Here is a 24,355-nt window from a genome sequence, read left to right on the forward strand (position 1 = left end):
GGATTACAGGTGTGAGCCACTGCTCCCAGCCAATGCCCTTAATTAGTTTGAGAAGTTTCTTTCTTTTGCCTGTTTGCTGAGAGTTTTTGCCATTAATAGTTGTTGAATTTTGTCAAATGCCTTTTCTGCATTTGTAGAGATGATTATACAGTTTTTCTCCTTCACTCTGTTAAAATGGTCAATTACATTGATAAATTTTCAAATGCTAAACCAATTTTCCTTCCTGGATTGAATTACAATTGGTTATTATGTGTTATCCCTTTTATATATTTTTGAATTCAATATGTAAATATTTTATTAAGAATGTTTGTATTTATGATCATGAAGAATATTAGTATATAGTTTTATTTTCTTGCAATGTCTTTGTGTGATTTTGGTATCAGGTAAACACTATCCTCATAAAATAAGTTGGGAGGTGTTCCTTTCTATTTTTTGGAAGGATTTGTATCGAACTGATATTGTTTCTCTCTAAAATATTTGAACTATTCATCAACAAAACTATTTGGATCTGGAGTTTTCTTTAAGGGAAGTTTTCAAACTAAAAATTCATTTTCTTTAATAGATAAAAGACTATTTGGATTTTTAATTTTTTTATGTGTGAGTTTTGGTAATGTTTCACTCGCAGAATTTGTCCTTTTCATCCAGGTTTCAAATTTACCAGAATAATATTGTTCATAATATTCCTTTATTATCATTGTAAAGTTTGTAATATCTCTGTGGATGACCCCCTTTTTATTCCTGATATTGATCATTAGTGTCTTATCTCTTTTCTTGATTAATCAATCTAGTTGAGGCTTATCAATTTAATTGATGCTTTCAAGGATCACTTTTTTAGTTTCTTTTATTTTTTTCAATTGGTTTCCCATTTTTATTTAATTAAATTAAATGTTCCATTTTTTATTTAAATTTAAATTTAAATTTAATTTGTTCTTCTTCTTCTTCTAGAAAACTTAGTTCATTGTTTTGGGTTTTTCTCCTTTTCTAATATAACATTTAAAGCTATACGTTTCCTTCTAAGCACTACCTTGCAGCATCCTACAAAATTTTGATATGTTATCTTTTTACTACCATTCAGTTAAGAATATTAAGTATTTTTTCTCTTTATTTTTTATTTAAGTCATAAGTTCGTTATATTTGTGTTTTTTAAGTTCCAAATATCTAGGGGTTTTTGAGCCAGCTTGTTACCTTTAAACTGTAGTTGTTCATTTAATTTTATTATGGTCAGAGAATATAGTCTATATGATTTCAAGCTTTTAAATTTATCAAACCTATATTTTACATTGATGAATGCTCCATATGGACTTGAAAAAAATGTGTATCCTGTTGTTGGTGTGAGTAATGCATTATAAATATTAATTCAATTAACTTAGTCAATAGTATTGTTGTTCAAATCCTCTATGCACTTACTGATTTTCTACTTGTTCTATCAATTACTAAGAGAGGAATTTTGAAGCTTCCAACTATAATTGTGAATTTGTCTGTTTCTCCTTTAAGTTCTATAATTTTTTTACTTTATGTGTTTTGAAGGCTTGTAATTGTGTGCATATACTCTTAGGATTGTTATATATTATTGATTAAAATGGTCCTTTTATCATTATAAAATGTACCTTGTTATCTCTAGTAATATTAGTTGACCTGAACTCTACTTTTTCTGATATTAATATAGGCAACCCACCTTTAGTGTTTTCATAAATTATCTGCTTTTCCATCCTTTTAAAATTAACTACATATTTAAATATTTTTAATGTGGTAAAAATCACATGGAATTAAATTTACCATTTAGCCATATTTAAGTGTACATTTCAGTACTGTTAAGTATATTTACTTGGTTGTGCAATAGATTGCTAAAACTTTTAAATCTTATGTATTTATATTTAAAGTTTATTTCTTGTCACTACCACATACTTGCATCTTGCTTTTTTTCAGTCTGTCTCTGACTTTTGAGTATTTAAGACATTTACATTTAGTGTACTTATCAGTATAGCTGGGTTTAAATCTACCAGGTTTCTATTTATGTATTTATATTTTGAGACAGAGCCTCTCTCTGTGTCACCCATGCTGCAGTGCAGTGGTGAGATTTTGGCTCCCTGCAACCTCTGCCTCCCAGGTTCAAGTGATTCTCTTGCCTCAGCCTCCCGCGTAGCTGAGATTATAGGTGTGCTTCACGATGCTCAGCTAGTTTTTGTACTTTTAGTAGACACAGTGTTTCACCATATTGGCCAGGCTGGTCTTGAACTCCTGGCATCAATTGATTAGCCAGCCTCAGCTTCCCAAAGTGCTGGGATTACAGGCATGAGCCACTGTGCCTGGACAACTTTCTATTTATTTTTAATTTGTTCATTTTCTGTCTTTTTCTCTTTTCCTGCCTTCTTTTTAATTATTTTGTGGTATTGTGTTTTGTCTCATCTACAGGTTTATTAGGCAGAAAGGTTTTATTGGTTGATCTAAGATTTACAGTGTATATCTTTAATTTATAACAGCTTACTTTTAAATAATATACCATATAATGTAAAGTGTAAAGACCGTATGATGGTATACTTTCATTTTCTCCCTCCCTTCCTTCATGCTATTGTTAATATATATTTTCACTTCCAGATGTTATAAACTTCACAACACATTTTTGTTTTGCTTTAAATATAAATAAGATATTTATTCAAATGAGAACATAAGATTATTTTATATTTGTACTAGAATTACTATTTCTGGAGCTCTTTATTCCTTTGTGTAGATCAGATTATCCATCTCTTATGCTCCTTCTGCCTCAACAATTTCCTTTACCATTTCTTTTAGTTCAGATTCATTAATGATAAAATCTCTATGTTCATCTGAAAATATCTTTTCTTTCCCCTTCATTCTGGAGAACATTTTTACTAGCTACACAATTTAGGATGACCATTATTTTTCTTTCAGCAAATTGTCTTTTGGCTTTTCTGAGAAGTCAAAGTCGTCCTCTATTTGGTTTCCCTTTGATAACTTTATAACATGTTTTTCACTTTTAGCTGATTTCAATATTTTTGTTTTTATTCTTGAAATTCAGCCAATTGATTATGTTGTATTTTGAGGGTGTGTGTGCTTTTTGTGTGTGTGCGTGCACACCTGTGTATGTGTGTGTGTGTGTGTTTAGCCTGCTTTCAGTTGGTTGTGCTTCTTGGATCTTGATGTTTGGAAAATGTGCTGCCTTTATTTATTCAACCACTTTTTCCATTCCTTTCTCTATTTACAACTCCAAAGCAACTTATAATGCATGTAAGACTGCTTGATATTGTCTCATAGGTAACTGAGGCTGTCTTCATTTTTTTGTTCAACCTTCTTTCTCTTTGTGCTTCAGTTTGGATAGTTTCCATTACTATGTCTTCTTTTTATTTTTCATTCTGCAGTGTCTAATTTAATCTACTGCTAAGCTTATTCAGTGAAGTGTTCAACTTATGTATTGTACGATTAAGATCCAGAAGTTTTATTTGGTTCTTTTACTATGGTTTCTATTTCTCTCCCTATCATACTATCCTTAAGACCTTAAACGTTTTCAATAGCTGTTTTAAAGTTCTCACGTGCTAATTCCATCATCCCTGTCATTTCTCGGTCTGTTTCCATTGACTTACTTTTATCCTGATTATGGATCATAGTTTCCTGTTCTGAACAGCATTTTGGACTGGATGTTGGACATTGTGATTGTTACATTCTTAAGTGTCTCGATTTTGTTTTCCATTACTTTTTGTTTTGTTTTGTTTTTTTTGCAGGCAGTTATATTAGTTATGGAGCCTCTTGATGCTTTAGAGGCTTGTTTTTTTAAGATTTAAGGTAAGCTTTGTTAAAATAAGATTAAAAGTCTGGAATAGTTCTTGCTTTAGTGCTAGGAGTTCGAGATGAGCCTGGCCAACATGGTGAAACTCTGTCTTTACTAAAAATGCAAAAATTAGCTGGGTGTGGTGGCATGTGCCTGTAATCCCAGCTACTCAGGAGTCTGAGGCAGGAGAATCGCTTGAAGCTGGGAAGTGGAAGTTGCAGAGAGTTGAGATCGCACCACCGCACTCTGCCTGGGTGACAGAGCGAGACTCTGTCTCAAAAAAAAAATTAGTATAATGTTTTCAAGGTTAATCATGTTGGAGCATGTATCAGTACTTCCGTCCTTTTTATGGCTGACTAATATTCCATTGTGTGGATATACAACATATTGATAATCCATTCATGGATAACTTTTTGAAAATTTAATTGGGTTTTACTTCCAATATTTTCCTTTTTGCCGTATCTTCTTTCAAACTGGTATCAGGATTTTTGGTTCATTTCCTCAGAGGTGTCATTTTTGGCAAGACAGAAAATAGAAGTAGCCTTCAAGATTTCTGGTCTTTGTTTCTAAGAATCCACTAAATAGAATAGGGTCTGAAAAACGGGGTTTGTCCCTGGACTAGAGGAGAGAGTTGAAAGGCATCTCTTTGTTCCTGGGAAAAGTCCCAGGAAGATAATGTGCTCCAGGAGTGGCATATGGGGGTTTTCCTGGGGATTGGAGACATGGGTATGGGGGTTTCCAACCTCCCCAAAGGTTCCAGCTCCCCACACCTGGCACAGAAGCCTCGTCGAGCTGCCAGACCAAAAAGGACCATGTGTCTTGCTGGTGACTGTGTGGGCAGATGACAGAAGAATGAAGTGTTCCAATGCTTTGCACTGTGTAAGACCCTGGAAAGTTGGTACTTCTTGAGGCAGAGCCACAAGAATGATTGAGGTCAAATTTCCTACTAGTCTTGTTGGATGGGAAAATCAGAATGGAAATTAAACTGACTTATAGAAAATAATGAGATATATTCATTCTTGTACACCTGACTTTAAGGCCTGAGATGATACTATGTGAATTCATTGAAATCAATAATATGGTAGGAATTTCATACAAACAAAAGGTGATTCAAAGTGACAGAACATCCTGCTTAGAAGAATGTTTTCTATGCTGCCTTTTGCCTTTAATTTGTGAGTTTTCTTCATGACCTCTTTCCTATTAGGCAAGATAGCTTTATTATGCAACATGACATCTTTTATCATGCTTCGCAAAACAACTTGTACCAAAGTTTAAATTTTGGTGAAACATAATGATCTTAATTTTATACTTTAGGCTGAGCTGATGAACAAATCATTTTACAGACAAAGAAAAAGAAATACATTTGGTAAAACATTGAAGACAAATTAAAAAAAAGCAAATCGGGGTCCCCCGTTATTTATACCCAAGAATCTTGAATGTTTGGGAGTGCCAGTGCATTCTACCAGTCTCAGTGAAGAGCATGAGTACACACTACAGTAATCAGAATCTTAGTCTTAGGTGAATTAGGAAAAGCAACTCTTCTTGCATTTATTTTCAGTAGTGTTGTAAGAACAAACTAGTTCTTCCTGCGTAGCCACACATGCTACTGTTTGAGAAAATGCATACCCACCTGGAAGAGCAAAGTACAGGGAAATATGTTAGGAGCACTAACACCCAGTGAACATTCTGGTGACAGAGATGGAGACTCCAGCTGGACTGAATATGTTGGATACATCAGCTAGGAAAGCAACTTGGGCAGGGAAAATGGCAGATATGATGAGGGTGTGGTAATGGAGTGGTCTGCAAACCCAGCCATATTAGAACTACTTAGGGATACAATTAAATATATCCATCTCTGGGTCCACAGTTGCTTTGTGGGGAGCTGGATGTCAGTGTGTGCTTTTAAAAGCTCTCCCAAGGATCCTAAGGTACATGATGTCCTACATAGAAAACTGCTATCCTACAGATGTAGCCTGGCCAGGGCTATGTCAATCTTGCTGTTTTGACCAACTTGGGTGCTTGCTGAGACTGTGAGGGGGCAACTGCTCCTGTCTGTGTGGCCGAGCAGTGGCCCCATGGGCCCCTGGCTTCCTTTCCTCATTAGCATTGGAGAGGAGCAGCTCTGGAGATGTCTTGAAACTAACACTTGTAATTGGAACCCAGAAAAGTAATTTACAAAGCTGAAAATTTGCTGGGGGATGACACACAATATTAAATTTGGTAAAGAATCCATCATGCTGGAAACATTCCTGTCTTAAAACCTGAATGATTTAAATAGGTTTTCAAAGTGGTTTATGCACGTTTAAATAAATAATAAGATTCCCAGAGGCATCAATTCATTGATAAGCACAGTGCCCTCTGGAGGAGCAATCTTATAATCATTTCTGAAAGTAGTTCAGGCACTCAGTGTAACTCACTACAGAGAGCTAGCAAGTGTTCCTGTCCTCTAACTCTTGATCTTGATAAGTTGAACAATAGAGTGCCCACCCTTTAATAATACATTCTCATTAAAACACAACACATCAAGCTAGACAAACACTATTTCCACCCACATGTATCTAAGGTTTATAGCTTGGCTCATTAATGACAATGGATTTACTAGTAAGCAGTTAATGAATGCTCTTTGAAAGAAGAAAAATAAATTATACGTGGAACTTGTATCCACATGTTATCTACCAAATTATTAATTAAATGAAATGCTTTTGTGTGGAAGGAAGGCTGAGTGGTCCTCAACCTTCTCTGTACATTAGAATCCCCTGAGGATTTAGAAAAACTCGGAGTAACCTGCCCAAGCAACTCCTCACCTCTGAGTGAGCACCAGGAATTCACCTGGTGATGGCCGGGCCCCAGCTCGAGTTTCTGAGTTAGTGAGTTGGAGGGTGGCCCAACAACGGGCATTTCTAACAACTTCCCAGGTGATGCATCTGTCAGAGCTGTTCGAACCAGAGCGACTCCATCTTGAATAGGGGCTGGGAAAATAGGGCTGAGACCTACTGGGCTGCATTCCCAGGAGGTTAGGCATTCTAAGTGACGGGATGAGATAGAAGGTCGGTGCAGGACACAGGTCATAAAGACCTTGCTGACAAAACAGGTTGCAGTAAAGAAGCCGCTAAAACCCACCAAAACCAAGATGTCGACGAAAGTGGTCTCTGGTTGTTCTCACTGCTCATTATACGCTAATCATAATGCACTAGCATGCTACAAGACACTCCCACCAGCACCAGGACAGTTTATAGATGCCATGGCAACGTTAGGAAGTCGCCCTATGTGATCTAAAAGGGGAGGAACCCTCAGTTCCAGGAATTGCCCACCCCTTTCCAAGAAAACTCATGAATAATCCACCCCTTGTTTAGCATATAAACAAGAAATAACTATAAGTATCCTTAGTTGAGTAGCCCAAGCTGCTGCTCTGCCTATGGAGTAGTCATTCTTTATTCCTTACTTGCTTTCACTTTATGAATTCGTCTCTAATTCCTTCTTGCACGAGAGCCAAGAACCCTCTCTTGGGGCCTGGATTGGGACCCCTTTCAGGTAACACATTTGCTGCTGCCTAGGACTGTGCATGGAGAGCCACTGTTTTAGGTCACGGTCATCACAGTCTCTGGATGGACGCTGGTATGAGTATTTCCCAACCCTTTGGGATTTCCTCCCTTCCCTCTTCCTTCTCTTTCTCCTTCCTTCCCACTTCAGGAACATTTCACTTAGAATCTCAAGGTGGAAATTTAGAGTTTTATAAAAGCACTCAGGTGTTTCTTGGAATAGCCATGTATGAATGACCAATGGTTCGGAGGCAGCACGAAGGAGGAGGAGGGAATGCCCTTGGGGAGAGGGGATTTCCTGGGGGAGAGAGGATGGCACACTTCCTGGGTGTGGCGGGAAACCCATGAGGAAGGTGCCCTGAGCTCCCTGTGTAAGGAGGGGCCCACGCTAAGTCAGCTACGCAAACAATCACAGTGGGAAAAGGCCTCTCCCTATATTTAATTTAATTTAGCTAATTAATTAATTACTTTTTTTTTAAGATAGAGTCTTGCTCTGTTGCCCAGGCTGGAGTGCAGTGGTGCAATCTGGGCTCACTGCAACCTCCGCCTCCCGGGTTCAAGAAATTCTTCTGCCTGAGCCTCCCGAGTAGCTGGGATTACAGGCGCCCGCCATCACACCTGGCTAATTTTTGTATTTTTAGTAGAGACAGGGTTTCACCATGTTGGTCAGGCTGGTCTCGAACTCCTGACCTAAAGTGATCCACCCACCTCGGCCTCTCAAAGTGGTGGGACTACAGGCATGAGCCACTCGCCAGGCCCCTTTCTATTTTATTTTTAATGTTCTAATCATAAAAACATTTAGGACTATAAAAATGAGCAGATAAAAAATATTCCCACTCCCTCTTAATGGAAGATGTGTTCACATTTTTAAAAGTCTCTTCCCCAAAGGAAGAAACCAACGTTCTCTTTTTGCCAGGCCCATTGCCCTGCTTTTCATTCTTGACCTAATACCTGCAGGGAGCAGGATGGCCGGATTTGGTCTGGAGGGAATGTTTCTCCTCCTTGCGCACCAAGACGCATGCGCACAGTGGGCTTTCCGGAGCTCATAGTTTCCACTCCATCACCCCATCCAAGGCTCTGGGCGATGTTTTGGAATTTGTCAACTTTTATACATTAGTGAAATATGACGATTTCTTTCTCATTCTAAGTAAATATTTGCTTTTGAACCTAATTTTGCATTTGTAGTTTTGTATTATTTTCCTAAAGATGGTCCCCCAACTGTATAAAGTTTTGGCCTCACAAAACCTGGTTCTGACGTTTATTCAGAGGCAATATACATCATTTGGAAAACTGAGCTGTTTTTCCTTTTCACAGTCTCCCAGGGAAGAAGAGTGAGAGCTGAAGTTAAGTGGGAGAACAGAAATCCAGGCCACCAGCCTCCATGGCACCTGATGAGGATGCAGACCTGCTCTCAGCTCTGCCTACTGAACATTTAACTGCCGTTTGCATCCAAACAGGGAGCTCAGAGGAAGCCTCCAGCTCTTTGCATTCCCCACTTTCATTCATCTTTCAGGAAGTCCTAACAGACACAGAGTCTTGATGGGGGCCTGGAGGGAGCCCTCCATGGACCCAACAACTGTGAACTTTTCCCTGGCTGGCTTCCTAACGAATCTGCTTCCTCAATACTCAGCCACAGCCAAGAATATGAGAAAGAACCGGCATCTTGAAATTAACAGAGAATTTTCCCCTTTTGTTTCCTATCTGAATTGCTTAGAGTGCTTTACAAATTAAAGTCAATATCGTGGTATACAACAGAAACACATACAGGATCTAAAAAGCTACAAACTGGCTGAGGGTCTTTCTCTCCAGAAATGAGGAAGAATGTGAGGAGAAAAAACACCTTAGAACTTTGATTCAATAAAATATCTAACCATCCAATAGTATTTCCTATTATAATATTAAAAAATAGTAAGTCATGAAAATAACTTCTTCCTACAAAATGAATAACTTTAAAAAAGTAATTGAAATATATTTTTTCTATTTCTCATATCCGTTCAATGCTATTCTGAGGTGATTCACACTCTCCATATTACATTGGTTTTAGGATGTTATGATTCTTTCAGAAAGCACTTATTCCTCTATTTGAATCCAGATACATAAGGCCTTTTACACTTCACACTGCCTATAATGATGCCAACAGCAGGAAATCCCAAAAGAGTAGAGACACTGGAGCTTAGAGGTGATAACTAACTTATCTAATGCCCCGTAGCTGGTTAATCGGCAGAACTGGGATGCCCATCTATCTGATTTTCATGTCTCTGCTCTGGAACTGAACAATATAACACTTTGGAGCAAGGCAGAGTGAAGTTCCAGTCTGGGCTCCACCAGTTAGTAGCTATATAATTGAAGGCAAGTGACTTAACCTTGCTAGGCCACCATTTCCTTCTCTGTAAATGGGGATCCATTCAGTTATTCTTTCATTCAACAAGTATCTGTTCACTAACTCCACATGGTGTCTCTAAAGATTTAGTGCAATAAAGGAGCTCAAATGTTTAACAGAGGACCAAGCTCACAGTATGTCCTCAATAAGTATCAATTCCATTTTGCCCATATTTATAGTTTACGTTGGAGAGATGGAAGAAGGAATGGGTATCTGTTCATACGTATAATTCAGCATGGAGTGTTAACTAATAAATTAGTTCACTCATCCAACAAACTTTTTGTTGAGTGCATACTATATACTGGGCATTCTTCTATATGCTTGAAATAAATCAATGAAGAAAACAAAAAATGCTGTCACGGAGCTTACAGTCTAGCAATGAAGACAGATAATAAGCAAGGGCATAATAAAAAGCTAATCATGTAGTAGCCAAGAGCATAATAAAGAGCTACAAGGGAAAGAAAACATAAACTGGAGATAGAGGGTGGGAGTTGTGTAGAGCAGCGAGGGTGGGCTACACTGAAAAGGTGATATTTGGGCAAAGACATCAAGGAAGTGAAGAGGTGAGCCAAACCAGATATGAGAGATTAGCAATCTAGGCAGAGGGTAGATCCAGTGCAAAAGCTCTAGCATTCCTGGTACATTACGAGAAAAGCACAGAGGCTGGAATGGAATGAGGGAAGAGCAAGAAGAGTGAGAAATGACACCAGGGAGGTGATGGAGCCCAGATCAAGCAAGTCCTTGCTGGTCATTGTAAGGACTTTGACTTTACTTTGAGTGTGATGGATAGCCACTGGATAGCAGAGTTTTGAGCCAAAAACTGATCTGCTTGCTCTGATGTATTATAAATGGATTACTTTGGCTGCTGCATGGAGCTGGGGTGGAAGCAAGAAGACTTGTTAGGAGGCTGTCGTGGTAGTGCAGACAGAGATGATGGTGGTTCAGACCACAGTGAAGTGAGCAAGAAGCAGTCGGGGTCTGAATACAATGTAATGGCAGAGCCAATGCAGTGGCCTAATGTGTGACTCAAGGATTTTGGCCTGAGCCAAACTGAACTGGAAATATGGAGTTGTCATCAACTGAGAGGGCCAAGGCTGTGGATGGTGCAGGCTTGGCGGAAAGGAAAACCTAGAGTTTGGTTTTGGATATGTGAAGTCTAAAATATCTAGTAGACAACCAAATGGGGATGCTAAATGGGTAGTTAGATGTTTGAATTTGGGATTTGAGAGGGAGGTGTGGGTAGGCTGCACATATAAATTTGGGGATTATCAACATAGGGTTGATGTTTAAAACCATGAGACTAGATGAGATTATCAGTGGAGTGAGTATAGACAGAGAAAAGAAAAAAAAATTCGAATGGATCCGTGGGACATTCAAATATTAAGAGATTGGAGAGAAAAGAAGGAAGTCAGTCAAAATTTTAGAAGGGTGACCTGTGAGATAGGAGGAAACTCAGAATGTGGTACCCTGGAAACCAGGTAAAGAAATGTCCCAAGGGGGAGGAAGCCACCTACAATGCCACCTGCTGCTGGTACATCAACTGGGATGAGGAGCAAGAAGGGACCAGTAGCTTTTAGCAACAGGAAGGTCATGGGTGACCGACATCAATTGAATGGTGAGAGTGAAAGCCTGAATGTAGTGGATTTAAGAGAGGATGGGAGAAGAGGAACTGGAGGCAGTGGGCACAGATGCTTTTATCAAGAACTCCTACTGCAAGGGAGTGTAATGACATGAAGTGAAATCTAATGGATAACATGTGGTCAAGAGAAAGTTCCACTTTTTAGGACAGCCTGTTGTGTGTGCTGGTGTGAATGATCCTGCAGAGAGTGGAAAATGGATGATGTAGGGAATAGGAGAGAATTGCTGGAGTGGTGTTCTTCAGTAAGCAAGAGTGGATGGATTCAATGGTGCAAATCAGATGGGCTTTAGACAGGTGTGAACAGCAAAGCTGTGGGAAGGCAGAACATGTGGGTGGGTATTGCTGGAAGGAGAGGTGTGGTGAGAGCACAGGGGAGGTCATTTCTTGTTCCACTTTCTCAGGGAAGTAGAAATCAAGGTCACAGTTGGGAATGAGGGTGGGAGAGATGTAACCTAAATCCCTAAGATACGTGCTCTGCCTGATGTGTTCCTGTCCTGGTTCATTTTTCACCTTTTGTTACTGTGCAGCTGTTTCTTCCTAAATGTCTCTAGGGAGTTGGGAAAAGTGAAGTACTGGGCGTAGGGTAGGCTGCAAGAGCAGTGTGTGTATGTGTTTCCGCTTGTGTGCAACAGAGACATAGTGATCCATCCAAAGAGGTCTAAATCTCAGTAAAACAAAAGAAAAATCAACAATAAGATAACTTAGAATTTTAAAATTCTACAGCTTTCAATGAACACCTTGGTCACAGAAAAGAGGAGGAGCAAGGAGTTCTCATTTCCAACAAATACCAGGTGTTCCTTTATTGTTACTACCTTTTTGTTTGACTTTTCTCTTTCCCAGTACAGTATTCAGCATTCATATTACCTAACTCAGCTCACATAGGGCCTCTGTGCCTTCCATTGAGGCACTTTTTAGATGTATTGCTTATTAAAGGTGGGGGAATGGGGAAAATGAAATAACCTTAAAAAGTTTTCATGCTTAACTGGGCTATATTAACTCTATACCAAAAAAGTATATGCAAATTTTTTTTGGTAAAAATTATTTGGAGTCAAACACCACTTTTACCTTTAAAATGGCATATTGGGAATCTGTTAAAGAATCTTGAAAACATCAGGATTTTACATTTAAAAGTTTTATGATTTAGGGATGAGAGACCAGGAATGACCTTCTTCCAAATTGCACTTACTTTAGGACAAGTACACAAATTTCTCAAATGTAATTGAGCTCTCCTTCTCTATGAGAACTACCTTACTTAAATAAAAAAGATAATAATTCAGGTAGTTTTCATTTATTTTTTATATTTGTGTAAAATACACATAACAACATTTTCCATCTTAACTATTTTTAAGTGTACAGTTCACTGGCATTAACTACATTCACATTGTGTGAAACCATCCCCACCATCCATGTCTGGAGTGCTTTTCATCTTTTCATCTTGCAGACCAATCTCTTCATTCCTCTCTCCTCCCAACCCCTGGCAACCGCCCATCTACTTTCTGTCTCTGTGAATTTGACTACCATAGCTTTCTCCCATACATGGAATCATGCATATTTGTCCTTTTGTGTCTTGCTTATTTCACGTAGTGTGATATTCTCCAGTAGAATGACCTTTTAATTACTGATTCTTCCCACGAGTAGATGGGGTTTCAATGTCATAGGCCACTTTACAGTACATTACTTACGTGGGACATTTAGACCAAGAGAGCTGTTCATGAGGACATTGTTGGAGGGTGACTTAGGTGATTGGGAAGTTATTCTCTTCACCCTGGGAATAAATCAATCAGCCTGGCTTTAGTTCTTTGGAGCAGATCTCAAAGGAGTTTATTGGAAAAAATCAAGTTGCAAAGTGAAAGTAAAAAACTGTACTCACATTTTGGAAAATGTTCATGTATTTAAAATAAGATAGGCTGGGTGCAGTGGCTCACACCTGTAATCCCAATACTTTGGGAGTCTGAGGCAGGTGGATCACTTGAGGTCAAGAGTTTGAGACCAAACTGGCCAACATGATGAAACCCTGTCTCTACTAAAAATACAAAAATTAGCTGGGCGTGGTGGCACAAGCCTATAATCCCAGCTACTAAGGAGGCTGAGACATGAGAATCGCTTGAACCTAGGGGGCAGAGGTTGCAATGAGCCCAGATTGCACCACTGCACTCCAGCATGGGTGACAGAACAAGACTCCATCTCAAAACAAAACAAAAATATTCCCGGGCAAGATGGTCAAACAGGAGCAACTCTGGTCTGCAGCTCCCAGGGAGACCAATGCAGAAGGTGGCTGATTTCTGCATTTCCAACTGAGATACCTGGCTCATCTCACTGGGACTGGATAGAGAGTGGGTGCAGTCCATGGAGGGCAAGCAGAAGCAGGATGGGGCATTGTCTCACCCGGGAAGTGCAAGGGGTTGGGGAACTCCCTCCCCTAGCCAAGGGAAGCCTTGAAGGACCGTGCCATGAGAAACCGTGCATTCCAGCCCAGATACTATGCTTTTCCTATGGTCTTCGCAACCCACAGACCAAGAGATTCCCTTGGATGCCTATGCCACCAGGCATAGGTTTCAAGCACAAAACTGAGCAGCTGTTTGGGTAGACGCCAAGCTAGCTGCAGGAGTTTTTTGTTGTTTTTTTTTTTTTCATACCCCAGTGGCACCTGGAACGCCAGTGAGACAGAACCGTTCACTCTCCTGGAAAGGGGGCTGAAGCCAGGGAGCCAAGTGGTCTAGCTCAGCGGATCCCACCCCCACGGAGCCCAGCAAGCTAAGATCCACTGGCTTGAAATTCTCACTGCCAGTACAGCAGTCTGAAATCGATCTGGAATGTTTGGTTGGGGGAGGGGCATCCACTATTACTGAGGCTTGAGTAGGCAGTGTACTCACAGTGTACACGAAGCCCTCGGGAAGTTCAAACTGGGTGGAGCCCGCCTCAGTGCCACAAAGCCACAGTAGCCAGATTGCCTCTCTAGATTCCTCCTCTTTGGGCAGGGCATCTCTGAAAGAAAGGCAGTAGCCCCAGTCAGGGTCTTATAGGTAAACTCCCATCTTCCTGGGACAGAGCACCTGGGGAAGGGGCGGCTATGGGCACAGCTTCAGCAGACTTAAAAAATTCCTGCCGGGCGCGGTGGCTCACGCCTGTAATCCCAGCACTTTGGGAGGCCGAGGCGAGCGGATCACGAGGTCAGGAGATCGAGACCATGGTGAAACCCCGTCTCTACTAAAAATACAAAAAATTAGCCGGGCGCAGTGGCGGGCGCCTGTAGTCCCAGCTACTCGGGAGGCTGAGGCAGGAGAATGGCGTGAACCCGGAAGGCGGAGCTTGCAGTGAGCGGAGATCGCGCCACAGCACTCCCGCCTGGGCGACAGAACGAGACTCCGTCTCAAAAAAAAAAAAAAAAAAAAATTCCTGCCTGCTGGCTCTGAAGAGAGCAGTGGATCTCCCAGGACAGTGTTCAAGCTCTGCCTCCTTAAGTGGGTCCCTGACCCCCGAGCCTCCTGACAGAGAGACACCTCCCAGCAGGAATTGACAGGAAACATGCAGGAGAGCTCCAGATGGCATCTGGCAGGTATCCCTCTGGGACAAAGCTTCCAGAGGAAGGAAGAGGCAGCAATCCTTGCTGTTCTGCTGGAGACACCCAGGCAAACAGGGTCTGGAGTGGACCCCCAGCAAACTCCAACAGATCTGCAGAAGAGGGGCCTGACTGTTAGAAGGAAAACTAACACACCGAAAGCAATAGTATCAATATCAATAAAAAGGATGACCAAACAAAAACTCCATCTGAAGGTCACCAACAGAAGACCAAAGGTAGATAAATCCACGAAGATAAGGAAAAACCAGTGAAAAAAGGCTGAAAATGCCAAAAACCAGAATGCCTCTTCTCCTCCAAAGGATCACAACTCCTCGCCAGCAAGAGAGCAAAACTGGATGGAGAATGAGTTTGACAAATTGACTGAAGTAGGCTTCAGAAGGTGGGTAATAAGAAACTCCTCTGAGCTAAAGGAGCATGTTCTAACCCAAGGCAAGGAAGCTAAGAACCTTGATAAAAGGTTAGAGGAATTGATAACTAGAATAACCAATTTACAGAAGAACATAAATGACCCAATGGAGCTGAAAAACACAGCAAGAGAACTTCGTGAAGCATACACAAGTATCCGTAGCCGAATCAATCAAGCAGAAGAAAGGATATCAGAGACTAAAGATCAACTTAATGAAATAAAGCGTGAAGACAAGATTAGAGAAAAAAGAGTGAAAAGGAAGGAACAATGCCTCCAAGAAATATGGGACTATGTGAAAAGACCAAACCGATGTTTGATTGGTGTACCTGATGAGTGACGGGGAAAATGGAAACAAGTTGGAAAACATTCTTCAGGATATTATCCAGGAGAACTTCCCCAACCTAGCAAGACAGGACAACATTCAAATTCAGGAAATACAGAGAACACCACAAAGATACTCCTCGAGAAGAGCAACCCCAAGACACATAATCATCAGATTCACCAAGGTTGAAATGAAGGAAAAAATGTTAAGGGCAGCCAGAAAGGTCGGGTCACCCACAAAGGGAAGTCCATCAGACTAACAGTGGATCTCTCTGCAGAAACCCTACAAGCCAGAAGAGCGTAGGGGCCAATATTCAACATTCTTAAAGAAAAGAATTTTTAACCCAGAATTTCTTATCCAGTCAAACTAAGCTTCATAAGTGAAGGATAAATAAAATCCTTGACGGACAAGCAAATGCTGAGAGATTTTGTCACCACCAGGCCTGCCTTATAAGAGCTCCTGAAGGAAGCACTAAATATGGAAAGGAAAAACTGGTACCAGCCACTGCAAAAACATACCAAATTGTAAAGACCATCGACACTATGTAGAAATGCATTAACTAATGGGCAAAATAACCAGCTAGCATCATAATGACAGGATCAAATTCACACATAGTAATATTAACCTTAAATGTAAATGGGCTAAATGTCTCAATACAAAGACACAGACTGGCAAATTGAATAGAGTCAAGACCCATCGGTGTGCTGTATTCAGGAGACCCATCTCACGTGCAAAGACACACATAAGCTCAAAATAAAGGGATTGAGGAATATTTACCAAGCAAATGGAAAGCAAAAAAAAAAAAAAAAAGCAGGGGTTGCAATCCTAGTCTCTGATAAAACAGACTTTAAACCAACAAAGATCAAAAGAGACAAAGAAGAGCATTATATAATGGTAAAGGGATCAATTCAACAAGAAGAGCTAACTATCCTAAACATATATGCACCCAATACAGGAGCACCCAGATTCATAAAGCAAGTTCTTAGATACCTACAAAGAGACTTAGACTCCTACACAGTAATAGTTGGAGACTTTAACACCCCACTGTCAATATTAGACAGATCAATGAGACAGACAATTAATAAGGATATTTAGGACTTGAACTCAGCTCTGGACCAAGTGGACCTAATAGACATCTATAGAACTCTCCACCCGAAGTCAACAGAATATACATTCTTCTCAGCACCACATTGCACTTATTCTAAAATTGACCACATAATTGGAAGTAAAACACTCCTCAGCAAATGCAAAAGAATGGAAATCATAACAAACAGTCTCTCCGACCACAGTGCAATCAAATTAGAACTCAGGATTAAGAAACTCACTAAAAACCATGTTGGCCAGGCTGGTCTCGAACTCCTTACCTCAGGTGATCTGCCCGCCTCAGCCTCCCAAAGTGCTGGAATTACCGGTGTGAGCCACCATGCCCAGCCAGCATGTTTCTTTAATTGCTGTTCTTCACTTATTTTTCTTCACCACATCCCCTAAACTTGGCTTCTATTATAAATCCCCACATCTTTCTACTACTACTGTTTCTCAGTTACTATCCTTTTCTTCCATGGAAATTTACTAGCACAACTATATGTAATACATATTATAGTATTGTATATATAATACATGATTATTATAAATAACAATCATATGGCAACAGCAGATAAACAACATTATTATATATTATACACATATATACATTATACACATATGATTATCATATATATGCATATATGTAATATATATCATACATTATATGTCACAATAGAATCACTTTAAAAAACTAGTGAGGAAAGAAGAAAGCTGCCCTGACCTCTGTGTATTTTTAAGTCCTCACAACATTTCTATCAAGTAGGCCTTCCTGTCCCTATCTTGCCATACAAAGATGTTAAATAAACTGCTTGCTTGGTAGATCCCAGAGAGTTTTTAATGTATAGTTCTGCCTCAAAGTCCTCTGTATTTTTTTCTTCTGGTTACTACTGTAGACAGAATTTAAGCTCATTCCTATTATTCCTGATTTAGCAGTCCAAATAGGCTTGAAGATCTCTCCTCTCTACCTTAATCCCACACTCTTGTCAAAGCAAACTGACCGAGACAGTGCTTCTTTCTCATCATGTGACTTCCCTACTCTCAACCACGGGTGGCTCTGTATGTCCTATAGAGATATTTCAGGAGACTCCTATAAATAAACTTCAAATCCCCACGACTTCTTAGCTCCTCCTCAAATCCCACACCCATACGTCTTACACAATCAGAGATTCAATCACACCAGGACATCCTTTACTCCCCAAATAGCTTATGTTCTCCTCTGTGATCACTGCCTCCATATCCTCTTCCTAAGGTATGTGTGCTGCTCCCAACTCCCATATCTACCTGTTAAAATCCTACCTATCCTTCCACAAAGATACAACCTTCTCCACAAAGCCTTCCAAAAACTCTTCAATCAGAAACAACCTCTTCTATGTTTACCGAGAACGTAATATGCTCATCTGCTTAGATCTGTCTAGTACAATTTTTTTTTTTCCGCAGATAACTGTGACTTCAAATGGACTGTGAGCTCCTCTGGGCCAGGGCAATGCATTCATCTTCATACAAATCTCCACTCCTTAGCACAGTTCTTAATACAAGGTAAATACTTACATGTGCTATGAAATGATTAGTAAAAAGAACAACTTCTTCAATAGCAAGAACGTCTCCCTTAATAGCAAGAACTTCTCCCAGTGAAAAGTTTTATACACAACTTTCAAATATGGTGGAACACAGAGGTACCCAGGTAAATAAAAGATATATTAAATTCTAAACTGCATTAGAATTGCTAATCTTAAACTTAGTAATTTAACATTCTCTTTTGAAAGTAAATCTACAAAGTGACTTAAATAGATACCATGCCTTCTCCTTTTTCCTAACGTGCTTTAGAAAAAGACTTAAAGGAGTGAAAACTAGAAGTAAAAAGTTAGATAATTACATGATTACACCTAAGTGGCCAGTTGGCAAATGAATAAAAATATTACAAATTTAAGAATGAAAAGATCTTCTGCTCTTTAATATGTGGTAATACGTTCTTTACTTTAATATGTGGTAGCGGTACAGCAAGTAAAAATGGAATAAATACACCTGTAAAGTGGTGATGTAAGCCAAGAGCAGTGGCTCATACCTATAATCCCAGCACTTTGGGAGGCTGAGGTGAGAGCATCACTTGAGGACAGAGTTTGAGAAAACGGTGATCTCTTTAAAACGCAAATCGGAGAACACTGCCCTGCTTAAAACCCTCCACTGATTTTTTTGACATGCTTGGAGAAATATCAGATTCCTTACCCTAGACTACAAAGACTCTGCACATCCTGCTATGAGCACTACCAAGCCCAGCTCCTGCTCTGCCTGCCCCTGCCCCTTCATTCCGGTTCTACTACACTGGTGCCAAGGCCTTTGTCTCACAGTGTCTTGGCTCTTGCTGTTGCCTGTGCTTGGAATGATCTTCTTCCGTATCTTCTCATGGCTGCCTTCTTCCATCCTTCAATTACTCGCTCAAATCCCACCTCCTCAGAAAGGCTTCCATGACCACCCAACTAAAGGCAAATCTCCACCACCAACAGCACCATAGCCTGTCTCTGCTGGATCTTACTGTTTAATTTTCTTTATAACACTCATCATGACCTGAAATTATCTGGGTTTGTTGTTGTTGTTGTTGTTGTTTGTTTGTTTTTTGAGATGGAGTTTCACTCTTGTTGCCCAGGCTGGAGTGCAATGGCACGATCTTGGGTCACTGCAACCTCTGCCTCCCAGGTTCAGGCAATTCTCCTGCCTCAGCCTCCTGAGTAGCTGAGATTACAGGCACACACCACCACACCTGGCTAATTTTTTATATTTTTAGTAGAGATGGGGTTTCATCATGTTGGTCAGGCTGGTCTCGAACTCCTGACCTCAAGTGATCCACACGCCTCAGCCTCCCAAAGGGCTGGGATTACAGGCGTGAGCCACTGCACCCAGCCGACCTGGAATTATCTGTTTACTTGCTTGTTTAGTATCTGCCTCCTTCCACTAGACCATAAGCCCTGCATACAGGCAGTGGTCATGACCACTGTGGTTCTAGAAAAGTGGCTGACATGTGGAAGGTGCTCAAAACTATTTGTAGCAGCATAAACTGCATTTTAACCCATGAGGACGAAGATATATTTTTTGCATTCTCTAGCTTATCTTTCACTTCTGGAAGCACAGATTAGTTGAAAGCATCAGGGGATTCGGAATCAGATAGACTTGGATCAAAATCCCGATTCTGCCACTTATTTTCCCAGTGATGTTGGCAGGGTCATTTAAATGGAGCTATAGCTACAAATTTTTCAGTGTGATGGAAAACCAAATGGATGAGCCAACTCTAAGGTCTGTCTGCCTTAGAGGACTGCTTTGCACATGTAAGTGCACTGATTTGGCTCTCAGCCATGAGCTCTTTCCTGGACTCATGCTCTTTCAACAAAAAGAATTTTATTTCTCCTCAGGAATAATGTTGCTTAAGAAAAGAATGTTCAACAGGCAACCTACAGAATGGGAGAAAGTTTTTACAATCTACCCATCTGACAAAGGTCTAACATCCAGAATCTACAAAGAACTTAAAGAAATTTACAAGAAAAAAACCAAACAACCCCATCAAAAAGTGGGTGAAGGATATGAACAGACACTTCTGAAAAGAAGACATTTATGCAGCCAACAGACACATGAAAAAATGCTCATCATCACTGGCCATCAGAGAAATGCAAATCAAAACCACAATGAGATACCATCTCACACCAGTTAGAATGGTGATCATTAAAAAGTCAGGAAACAACAGGTGCTGGAGAGGATGTGGAGAAATAGGAACACTTACACTGTTGGTTGGACTGTAAACTAGTTCAACCATTGTGGAAGACAGTGTGGCAATTCCTCAAGGATCTAGAACTAGAAATACCATTTGACCCAGCCATCCCATTACTGGGTATATACCCAAAGGATTATAAATCATGCTGCTATAGAGACACATGCACACATATGTTTATTGTGGCACTATTCACGATAGCCAAGACTTGGAACCAACCCAAATGTCCATCAATGATAGACTGGATTAAGAAAATGTGGCACATACACACCATGGAATACTATGCAGCCATAAAAAAAGGATGAGTTCATGTCTTTTGTAGGGACATGGATGAAGCTGGAAACCATCATTCTCAGCAAACTATCGCAAGGCCAGAAAACCAAACACCGCATGTTCTCACTCATAGGTGGGAATTGAACAATGAGAACACTTGGACACAGGTTGGGGAACATCACACACCAGGGCCTGTCACGGGGTGGGGAAAGGGGGGAGGGATAGCATTAGGAGGTATACCTAATGTAAATGATGAGTTAATGGGTGCAGCACACCAACATGGCACATGTATACATATGTAACTAACCTGCACCTTGTGCACATGTACCCTAGAACTTAAAGTATATTAAAAAAAAAGAACGTTCAAACTTAACGTTCAAGAAGTAAGAAATTCACAGAAATAATTCCTGAAGAAGAGAAAAAACAGGTCCTTTCATTAGTAGGAAGAGGAAAATTCAAACACAAGCATCAGAAAACAGTGCTCCAATTAAAATAATGGTAATAATAAATAAATACAGTGAGTGTTACATACGTGTTTACAATGTGCCAGGTATTGTTGTTTATCTCCACAATAATCCTTGAGGTCAATACCACTGTTATTCTCGTATTACTTTTTTCTTTTCCTTTTTTTAGAGATAGGGTCTCACTCTGTTGCTCAGGCTGGAGTGTAGTGATGCAATCATAGCTCACTGCGGCCCCGACCTCCTGGGCTCAAGTGATCATCCTGCCTCAGCCTCCCGAGTAGCTGTGACTACAAGCATGCATCACTGTGCCTGGCTAATGTTTAATTTTTTTGTAGAGTGCTATGTTTCCCAGGCTGGTCTAGAACTCCTGGGCTCAAGTGATCCTCCCACCTCAGCCTCCCAAAGTGCTGGAATTAAAGGTGTGAGCATTGTTCCCATCAAGAAACCAATGCACAGAGAGGTTCAGTAACTAGGAAAGTCATGAGCTAGTCAGTAACAGAATCACAACAGTGACCACAGACGATGCTTGTCCCTCACTCAATCTCCCATGCTCTTTCCACCCTCGGCACCCTTCCTCTCCACATGGATTTGTGCTTGTGTGTCTTCTCCCTCTTCCTCCTTCCTCCTCTAGCACTGGCCCCAGTCAATAGCCACAATGTAGCATATTCTGCCACCAAGATGGCAGCTCTGCTAGGCTGCCCATGAGCAGTGTGCCAGCAAGACTGGCTAAAAGAGATGGGAGAAATATCTAGGCATCTTCAACCTCCCTAGGAGCCCCCTCAGCTGTGCCTACTTAAAGCACAGTCTTCCTCTGTGCCCATCTGACTTAGGAGAGTCCAAGCGAAAGCTCCTGTCCTCCAAGGACGGCCCAAGTGTGTACAGTCTTCATCCTGAAGAACACCCAAGCTAGAGAGTGCTTCCCAATGGGAAATAAAGGATGAGCAGTTGCTTTAAGTGCTTGCAAAGCTGTTAGAACACTGCTCAAGGCAATGTAGCTCTTTCAGTGGCACCTAGTTATGAGCACATATTGTAGTAACAGAGAATGATTGATTTAGTAGTAACAGTCAAAAACCAAGGAAGGGGAAAGCTACATGAAACATTAAAGTATATTTTCTTGTAATAAAGGTTTTAGAAAAAGATTTCCTAGACAGGGGGGATGTTGGTAACAACTTTTCCCAGGTCTTAAAAGCTTTTTTTTTTTTTAAGTCATTAAGAAAAGATGATTTTTTAAAAAAATCATCCAGCTTTGGGAAGAATGATCTAGTTTGTCGTTTCCTTTCCAAATGTTTCAGATTCAACATTAGAAATGTTCCGATGGTTCCAGAGATAGGACTGCATGAGTCTTGAGGAAAGGCCAATAAAAATAACACCACCATCAATATCCTCCCAGCGTACTCTGGGGAGTCAGGCCACGGCTGCTAGAGGCACAGGCCTGCTGAAGTATGAGAAGAGAGGAGGATGTAGGTGGACATTATTTCCTTCACAAAGAACAAAATGAATTAATTCCCTATTTTAAAGAGACGGTTTTTGGTTTATCTGTGAAAATAATTTCCAACATCCATCCTTTCGTCAAATATTTATTGAGCACTTACTGGAAACCAGCCCCCACAGGAGGTGATGGATGCCTTCGGGAGCTTACACTCTAGTTTGTGGGACAGTCATTAAGCAATAACAGATTCAGAATCACCACCCTGACTTTGACAAGTGCTGTAAAGGAGAGAACCATATGAACTTATCAAAGGGAGTTTGGCCCAGAGGCCTGAAGAACTGAGAACTAAGCTGAGATGTCAAGGTAGAGGCTAACTAGAATTTCATGATTCCGCATTGCACTTTTCATTTATGTTCCCAAATCTCAATCTGTACAGTCACAGAAACAGCCCTGAGGGAAACATGAACTTAATAAAAAGGTAGCCTACCTAGAGAAGTCCAGGACATTATGATTTTCAAAAGTGGGCCAGGCACAATGGCTCAAGCCTGTAATCCTAGCACTTTGGGAGGCTGAGGCGGGCGGATCACCCGAGGTCAGGGGTTCAAGACAAGCCTGGCCAACATGGGGAAACAATACAACATGGGGAAACTAAAAATACAAAAATTAGTTGGGCTTGGTGGCACATGCCTGTAATCCCAGCTACTTGGGAGGCTGAGGCAGGAAAATCGCTTGATCCTAGGAGGCGGAGGTTGCAGTGAGCCAAAACCACACCACTACACTCCAACATGGGCGACAGAGTGAGACTCCGTCTCAAAAGAAAAAAAAAGATTTTCGAAAGTGTATTTTTCTCCCATCTATAGGAAGATAAGACAACATATTCTCACCTTAGGAAAAAAGCATTCATCTTGCAACATGGTCCTCCAAATACACATGTTTTCAAAATATAAATTTTCTTGCAAGTCTGATGGGATGATGTCTCCCTCCCCTGGTAAGAGCAGTGTTTGCAACCTGGGCAATATTGAGAGCACAAATAATTCTAACAGCGCTAATTTGGAGAGCATTGATTTAGGACAGAAGTACCTCCCTTTCCAACCTAAAATCAGCACTATAAGAAACATTTCAAAGATATTCTCAGGTGTCAGGGGTACATGCAGTAAGTGAGACAATCAGCAGACAGCAATGGGAGAACAAACCCATCTTTGTGTTACATTGCACAGATCAAATGAAATCCTTACTGCTTAGTTTGAAGAGGTAACTATGGAAAGATGTGGCATACTATATATAAAATTTTACAGCAAAGATGCGTTCTTTTCTAATTTTTTCCACTTCCAGCCTCTTGATTTCCTTTAGGCAAGATCAATTTATCTCTGAATCTGCCAGCTCCCAGCAACTCTAATATGGCACTGGGCACTGTAGGATTTTAAATAATTTGAGAGTCATCCATATGCCACATACTATGGATATAAAGATGAATTAATCAGTCACTTCTACCAAAGACTTAATGTCTAGTAACATCCTTAACAATTGCATTATTACTAGGAAAAGAATCCGTGTGTTGGCCACCATGTTTGCATTGCTTCAACTTTTTTCCTCATAGTATCAAAAGCTTGTGGTGAAAAGTTATCAAGACAGAACAAGGAAATAGTCAGCATAATAACTTAACTCACCTAAAGTAGTTTGAACCGTATTAATTCTTCACTGG

General features: G+C 40.4%; 1 annotated feature.

Annotated features, from left to right (window-relative positions):
- Window positions 9,468–9,969: an enhancer, noted in NCBI's record as "NANOG hESC enhancer chr13:26673008-26673509 (GRCh37/hg19 assembly coordinates)". NCBI's record gives its function as "activates a minimal SCP1, AML or CMV promoter by ChIP-STARR-seq in naive H9 embryonic stem cells {active_cell/tissue: H9 hESC(naive)}" and the evidence as "EXISTENCE:reporter gene assay evidence [ECO:0000049][PMID:30033119]".

Source organism: Homo sapiens, chromosome 13, assembly GCF_000001405.40.
Source record: "Homo sapiens chromosome 13, GRCh38.p14 Primary Assembly".
Classification (NCBI taxonomy): Eukaryota; Metazoa; Chordata; class Mammalia; order Primates; family Hominidae; genus Homo; species Homo sapiens.